Below are 8714 nucleotides of genomic sequence, written 5' to 3' on the forward strand. Positions count from 1 at the left end.
CCAACCCTGTGATGTACTTAACACTCCAGAGCACCCCATTCGACTGAGCTAAGACTGGGACTCACCTGCAATAACACCCTTGTTTGACTTCTTCCACTCTGTCCTTCCTCTTCCCATTCTCTGGGCAAAATCCTATATAAATCCCCTGCATACAAATCCTCTTCTCAGTGTCTGGAAATCCAACCTGAGACAGGCACTTTACTCTAATTCACACCTGGTAAGCACTTAATAAATGTTAGCATTCATTATGTATGTTTTTAGTAGCCACTATGAATCCAAAAACACTTTTTTTTTTTGAGATGGAGTCTCGCTCTGTTGCCCAGGCTGGAGTGCAGAGGCATGATCTCAGCTCACTGCAACCTCTGCCTCCCGAATTCAAGTGATTCTCCTGCCTCAGCCTCCTGAGTAGCTGGGATTACAGGTGTGCACCACCATGGCCAGCTAATCTTTGTATTTTTAGTAGAGACAGCATTTCACCATGGTGGCCAGGCTGGTCTCAAACTCCTGGCCTCAAGTGATCTGCCTGCCTCGGCCTCCCAAAGTGCTGGGATTACAGGCATGAGCCACCACACCCGGCCCCAGTAACACTTTAAAATGAACCTGAATTTTATCAGTCACAGTCACTTCTAAATACATTTGAAAAATAATTACATATGTGCAAGACATTGTGTGCTCAGCCTGCAGCAAGCTGGACAGACAGCTTGGACCAAACTACAATAACCCCACTATTCTCCATGACCCACATTTTGGAAGCATGGCTTTCAAACAAGTCCTTCATCTCACTGGAAATCAAACCACGGACAGCCTGTATCTAAGCCTATGTGAGCGTATGGTGAGTGAGTGATGAGCAGGATGTAGCACAAAGGTCTCCTGCCTAGTTCACTGCCATTTTCCTTGCACCCTTTATCCTCTTGCTGGATGGTTTTCAGAGATAACTAAACCACCAAGCCTCAGAAGCCCTTCTCAGACAGCTGCAGTAACACTTATCACTAGTTATCACAGGCCTTGTGTGCACAGCACCCATGCTGGATATTTTTATGAACATCAAAGTATACAGAAACTCCCTGCCTTCTAAAGTTTGTCACTGAGTATGGACAAAAGGCCAAATGCAGAAGAAACACATGAAAATACTCGGAAAGCATTAGGAAGTTGAGACTATTCAGGCGTGTGGAATAAATTTAGAGATGGAAGGAACCTTAGAAGATGTCTGTTTTCTGGTGATTTTCAGCACATCTTTTTAAGCAGTAGAATGTTTGGTTCAAATGAAGTCTTACACCAAAATTCAGATTATAGAAAAGGTAGAAGCAGGGGCACTCCAACTGAAAAGGGTAAAAGATTAGAGCCCTGGGACACCATCTCCCCTCCCATCTCCCCTACCAACTGATCTAGGCTAAGCCCCCACTCATTTACAGCTGGATCAGGGGCAGAATTTACAGTCCCACGACCAGCTCACCCATGGCCTCTCTGAGGCCCTTATTTCCTCTCACCTGGTGATATGGTTTGGCTGTATCCCCACCCAAATCTCATCTTGAATTGTAGTTCCCATAATCCCCATGTGTCATGGAAGGGACCCAGTCGGAGGTAATTGAATCATGGGGGAGGGTTTTTCCCATGCTGTTCTCATGATAGTGAATAAATCTCATGAAAAATTATGGTTTTAGAAAGCGCAGTTTCCCTGCACATGCTCTCTTGCCTACTGCCATGTAAGATGTGCCTTTGCTCCTCCTTTGCCTTCCACCATGATTGTGGAATTGTGAGTCCATTAAACCTCTTTTTTTAAATAAATTGTCCAGTCTCAGGCATGTCTTTATTAGCAGCACAAGGACAGACTAATACACCTGGTCTTGAATAGCAGCCCGACTCTTTTCCTGCTTCCTGTGCCTTAGGAAGATTCCTCTGAGAGTTCAGAGTGTGTGGGATGGGAGGTATTAATCAGGATGGGGGTGAAGTGGGAGTGGTAAAAAAAGCTTCAAAGAGTTAACTTCACTGAGGGCAAGTTTTTTTCCTCCATATTTTTCCTCCAGAAAGGGAGTTTTCTTATCTAAGAATGGGCAATATAAAGTAAATCCTCATAAGAATGATACCCAGGGCCTGCCCCATCTCAGAAAGTGACAGTGAGAGTGCTGTGGGTTCCCACGGCCAGCTGTCACAATCTAAAGGAGGGATGTGCCCCAGGAATGGTTCCAGACCGATAAACACAGAGTCTGGAAGGAAAGCCATTTGCAGCATGTGGCATGCCCACCCCATCCAGGGCAGGTTTTGGTGCCTTTTCTGCCTAGTTCTGTTCTTCAAAATCCACTTGGCAATGTGAAAAATGCAGATTTGCACATCTGCTGGCATTCTCTACAAGAAGTGGGCTATGTGAAAAATGCAGTTTTACAGATCTGCTGCCATTCATTCTTTACAAGAAGTAGCTTCCAGGAATAAGGCAGGAGGATTAGTGCTATGGGCATTCTCTCCTGTGGCCCAGTCACTGGCCTTGTTGTCAGGGATACTGCCCAGAAAGAAATGAGCAGACAACTCAGGAGTGGCCTCAAGGATCACTCTGAGTGGCCAGGAGTCAGTCTCTGAGGGTCCCGGTTTCCGGATGTTCTCCAGCCCCCTTTGCCACACCACTTCCCAGCCCATCAAGCCTGCTTTCAGGAGATCCCAACAGTCATGCTGATACCTTAAGGATCATGGTTTCCCAGAGAGTATTCACATATATTGACAAAGGGATGTTTTGCTCAAATAGGTTTGGGAAATCCAAAGTTAAAGAAGTTTATTTTCTAGGGGACTTCTCAGAGCCTTTCAAACCTAATGATTGCTAGGAAGTTCCAACAATATAATACCTATACGTATACTGCATTCCCCAATATGACTTAGTCATGGGGCTCCTTACCCAGCAGCCTCTTCTTAAACTAATGGCATTTGATTTAGTTTGTTCCCTTCCTTTTCTCTACCTCAGCAGTTCTCAAAGTGTGATCCACAGACCCACTTTCAGGGATCCACAAGGCTCAAACTATTTTCATAATAATAGTGAGACATTATTTGTCTTCTTCACTGTGTTGAAATTCACTGACACTGTGGAAGTATGGGGAGTAAAACTGCTGGTGCCTTAGCAGTATCAAGGCTGAGGCAAGCTGCACTAGTGATCATTCTGTTCTTTACCACCACATGCTTCCAAGAAGAAAAAGCCAATTTTGCTTAAGAATGGCATTGAGGAGGCAGTAAAAGGTATGAATTTCATTAAGTGGCTATCTTTGAGTATACATATTTTTAATATGTTGGGTGACTAAATGAGAAGTACATATAAGCACTTCTGCTGCATACTGAAGCATGCTAGTGGTCTCCAGGAAATCCTCTGGTGCAATATAGTTTGAGCTGTGAGCTGAATGAGCCTCTTTTTTAATGGGACAACATTTTACATGGCTGACAGACAGACCATAGTTATTCAAACTTCAGTATTTGGCAGATATTGACTCAAAAATAAAAATAATGAGCCTATCTGTACAAGGAAAACAACTGACAGAATTTGACGCCAATTATAAAATTTGAGGTTTCAAGGAAAAATTAGAATTTTGGAAAACTTACATGCTCCACCAAGTGTTTGACAGCTTAAAGACAATGAGCTCTATGGTGATATTAACAAATGTGATGTTTTGATATGATACAAAATGAAACGTGTCAAAATTTGGAAGATCTGCGAAACTCAGTGAACTATTATTTTCAAAATAATGTGTTATGTTATAAAATCTTACATGGGTATAAGATTCATTCAGAGTGCAAATTAGACCAGTGCATTTTAATGTAACACAGTATAAATTGCCATTGCTATGGTTCGGTTCCAGATTTTACATGCATCCTCCTAGAAATCACCACGTGTCAAGGCTTGTGGTAATGTCAAAGCAGAATATCTACAAATATCTGAAAAGACTATCAAAATACTCCCCCTTTTCCTGACTATATACCTGTAAGGGGTTAGATTTTCTTCATTTACTTAAACCAAAGCAGCATACCACAACAGGTTGGATGAAGAAACAGATATGAGAATTCAGCTGCTTCTTTTAAGCTGCACATCAAAGAAATTTACAAAAGTGTAAACCAATGTCACTCTGAGTCTTACTAAGTTTTTTGTTTTATTTTAGCAAATAGAGACATATTTCCAACTGAAAAAAGTATTCAATTATCTTGTCATGATTTTGTTATTGATATTTTAATGAATTAATACATATTTTAAATATATTTTTTAATTTTTATATCAGGAATTGGCAAACTATTCTGCAAAGGACAGGTAATATTTTAGGCTTCACAGGCCACACAGACTCTGCTACAACTACTCAACTCTGCCACTGTACTGTGAAAGCAGCCACAGACAATATGTAAATGAATGGGGTTGGCTGTGTGCCAATAAAACTTTATTTACAAAAACAGGTGGTGAGCCAGATTTGGCCCATGGGTCATAGTTTGCTGACCCCTATCTTATATGCTAAGTATCAATAGATATAGCCAACTTAAAAGCATTTCGCGATCTTCAACAATTTGTAAGTGTAAAGGGGTCCTATGACTTAAAAGATTGAAAAACCCTGTTCTACCTGAAGTCTGAACACTTTGTCATCTTTACACAAGAATTCAGATGTACAGAAAGGTCATGGGAGGTATATTGGGGTGGGAGCCCTTCATCTGAAGGGCATCAGCCTGCTCTGGCTCTCCATAGGACAAATCCCATAGCTAACTGATGGTTTGGCAAAGTAAGATCACAAATATTCAGGACTCCACCTTCACATGCCCAGACACCTCTGGAATACACTTCATCTGCAAAAAGGATCAAGCTTTGACTACCGTGGATACTGTGAGTTCATCCAAATGAACAAATAAGTGAAATCAACAAAAATCTCCCCCTCTCGACGACAAAAGTCAGGAGATGCCAAAGTATATCTGTAGGATAACCTCCAACTAGCTCCGGGAAAGCTTCTGCCCAGTGGTGACAGCAGCCTACATGGGGGTGAGGCTAACAGGTCAGATGCTCGAACAAACAAAACATTTCAGACCTAGTAGCACACGGAGACTCCAGACTGCTCAGGGCATGCCAGTTACAGTAGACTCATCAGGCTTGGTGAAAGGCTGGCTCCTCAGCCCTGAGCTTTTGTTGTATATTTTAATTCAGGAACTGAGTCACACCTGCAAATCCTGTGACAAATGATGTTGTATTAACGTTGAAGAGTGCCAGCTCATCTCCTGGGTTCCAAGCCAAACTGACATAATAGAGTCTTTTTAAAAACCCACTAGAAAAAGTTGGTGTAAGGTCCAAAATATTTCAAGGAATGAGCACTTCTTAATTTGTGAATAAGTTCTGTGTCAATCAGCTATAATAAGATAAAAGCCTATCATTAGAGACCCCAAGCAAACTCAGAGTGGCCGCCATAGCCCCATTCTGTGGGACTTTCTGTCCTTGCCTGTATTTTTCCTTCTAGCAATGCTCTGGGAGACAAGCAGAATTTTCTGGTACCTTTCACACAGTTGGCTCTCCTGTCTGCCAATCTTCTGAGTGTTTTCATTTCACTCCCTCCATGATTGTAGTGGATTAACACATCAAGCTGTGAGGTTTCACAAACATGAAATGTCAATGCAAACACAGATATATCCAAAATAGCAGCACTCTGCTATTTTATAGCAAACATCGCCAACTGCCCCCCAACACACATACGCACATCCAATTTTCCTCAGTTGACAAAGCTGTCCAATTGGGCCTGTCTCTTCAGGATTCTGCTTTAGACTCACCAAGTAGCAACACACAGAGGTTCCAGTGTTTCTTTTGCTTTTAAAGGAGCTAAGCTCATCAGAGAAGCAGGGCACAGGGTAAACACACCTGAGAGCAATAATTTAAGCATATCCTAAGAATGACCCTGTATGGCAGATGCACCTGAATGTGTGTTCTGAGCTAGGAGATCCAGGAGTAGACAAGCGGGAGATTCATTCTTTATCTATGATAAAGATCTGAGCCCCTGGTCTCTCCCGTGGAAGATGGACCATTCAGGGGATTGAGGCCCTGAGTTTTGGGGTAAATGAAGGTTGCCAGGTGGAGGTCGTTAGGAGGAGGGTTTTAGGTGAAAATGCTATATAGACTGCATGCTGTTTGCAGGTGGTTGTGGTTCTCATGCCTAGCCTGCTGCCGCTGAACTCTCTCCCCTGTTTGTAAGCCCTTAATAAAAGTCCACGTCTTGTTTGCTGGCTCAGGGTCTCTTCTTTGACCTCTTGAACTTGGCGCCTTCCCTACTGGGGTGAATAGGGGTTCACCACAGCACAGGATAAGCAAAACTCACACATGCAAAGCAATGGCAATCGGCATTTAAGGGACAGACCAGGTGGCTTCCATCTGATTAGAGGGAATAAAAGCAGCCTCAAGATGAGACAGAACAGTCTTGAAAGGTGAGGGAGAGCTACCTTCCTAGAGCAGAGGGTCTGTGATGTGGTGCCTGAGGAATTCCTGGAGAAAGGGTGGGTTCATGGGACTGGCACAAGCTCTAACAAGAGAAGGAGGAAACTGAGAGCTGTGCAAGAGCTTCAGAGCACCCCTGAACTGAGCAGGATAATATGACTCCTTTAAAATTGGACTTTGTGGAGTCAGGAGGTGACATCCAGAAAATTTGAAACCTGGATCATTGAGGAAGGCTCAAAGGCCAAGTCCCTTGAGTAAGAGGTCCACCCTACTAAGTTTCCAAATAAAGGGAGAAATTTAAACCCTCAGCCAACCAGGAAATCTAGGGCCTTCAGGTTGACAAGGCACCCAGGCCATAACCAAATCTACTCTGATGCTCACTAGTTTGGTGAAGCAGGACAAGTTCCTTGGTCTCTTCACACAGTTGGCTCTTGGTCTTTTTGAATCTATTTTCTCATTGGTCTTTTTGAACCTATTTTCTCACTGATAAAATGGGATAATAATTGTACTGTATTAGTCAGCTCAGGCTGCTGTAACAAATACAACAGACTGGGAGGCTTAGGCAACAGAAACTTATTTCTCACAGTTCTGGAGTCTGGAAGTCTGAGGTCAGTTCCCAGCAATGTGGGTTCTGGTGAGGGCCCTCTTACTGGCTTACGGATGGCTGCGTTCTCTGACTGTGTCCTCACATGGCACACAGCTCTCGTCTCTGCCACTTCTTAAAAAATCATCAATCCCATCACAGGGTGCCACCCTTATAACCCCATCTAAACCCATTCACTTCCCAAAGACCCCACCTCCAAATACCATTATACTGGGGCTTAGAGAGAGCTTATGTAGCATAGTGCCTGGCCTATCCTTGGAACACATTGAAGGTGGCTGTTTTTCTTGTTCTAATTTGTTTTAGGGAGTGGGCAGAGGAAGCATGTCTACAGGTCAGTATCACTGTTCACCCCATCGGAGCCATGTTTGGGCAGGTGGTTTCAATGATATTTCCAACAAAAGAGTTTGTTGCCTTTTACTTGAAGGTAGCCAGTCTTTGCTCCCTGATCACAAGAACGCTCCCTCCCAGTATCTATGTCCCAAGTGCTACAAAGAGGTCTGAGTTACAGAAAGGAGCAGTCTTCCTTTAGGAACTAGTATCAGGGCATCCTTGGCAACCAGGAGCCTGTGACTGGAGATGGAGGCATTCTCACTTTGTCTTTTCCACCAGAACACGGACCAGTTGTTCTCAAACTTGAACATAAACCAGAATCACTGAAGGGTTTGTTACACCCCAGGTTGCTGGGCCCTATCTCCAGAGTTTCTGATTCAGTAGGTCTGGGCTGGGTCCCAAGAATTTGCATTTCTAACAAGTTTCAAGGGGATGGTGTTGCCACTGGTTTTGGAACTACGCTTTGAGAACCACTAACATAAACACTAAAGCAGAGGATGCAGTAGCTCACTTCCTATGACAGTCAAATAGCTTCATAAAACCCACGGATTGGAAGATCCTACTCATGAACCAATGCCACTGGGACCTAGTGTCCCAACCCCAGAGCTGCACAGATTCTCAACAGCCTCTCAGCTGGAATCTGCTTAAGCCTACCAAGCTCCTGGGAAGAGGGGCGACCAGCACCACAGCTGTGGCTGCCTGCTGTCTAAGCCATTTGAGCTCCTCGTGGGAGGAGCAGCAGCCAGCATTGGGACTCACAACTGCCTAACACGCTAAGCTCCCTGGGCAAGGGAAGGACAGCACCCATTTCTATAGCTCCAGGCCACACTTTTCCCCTGCTGGAGCCAGGGAGGCTATACGGCTTGGTCCTAAGACATGTCCCCCACCGCCCAACACACCAGCTGTGGCAGACTGTGGCCAGAGCGCCTCTTCAGGCTTGACCCTGACTCATCCTTCCTCACTGGATAGGGCTTCCCTGCAGGAACTCCAATAACTCCAGCCAGAGGTTCAGGGACAGAACCCAGATCTCCCTGGGCTTGAGCCCCTAAGGAGAAGGGTGGCTGCAGTCTCTGTAGACCAGCAGACTTAGCCTTTCTCTTGGTATTTCGGAGGAATCCGGCAGCCCAGATGAGTGGGTTTCCCCCAAGCAAAGCACACCCCCTCCACCAATGGACAGTCAAAGTACTTCGTTAAATAGGTCCTGTTCCCCATCCCATCCAAGTGGGTGGGGCCCTCCAACAGGGGTTGTCAGACAACCTACACAGGAGCGATCCTACTGACATCAGTATGGTGCCCCTCAAGGTCAGAAATCCCAGAAGAAGGAGCAAGCACCCATTATTGCTGTTCTCCAGCCTCCTTGCA

The 8714-nt window shown here is 44.5% G+C and overlaps 1 annotated feature.

Moving 5' to 3' along the window:
- Positions 2380–2594: a silencer, noted in NCBI's record as "fragment chr2:68222082-68222296 (GRCh37/hg19 assembly coordinates)". NCBI's record gives its function as "represses an EF-1alpha promoter that drives an FKBP-Casp9 reporter gene in an ReSE screen in HepG2 liver carcinoma cells {active_cell/tissue: HepG2}" and the evidence as "EXISTENCE:reporter gene assay evidence [ECO:0000049][PMID:32094911]".

The sequence above is a fragment of the Homo sapiens genome, chromosome 2 (genome assembly GCF_000001405.40).
Source record: "Homo sapiens chromosome 2, GRCh38.p14 Primary Assembly".
NCBI classification, from domain to species: domain Eukaryota; kingdom Metazoa; phylum Chordata; class Mammalia; order Primates; family Hominidae; genus Homo; species Homo sapiens.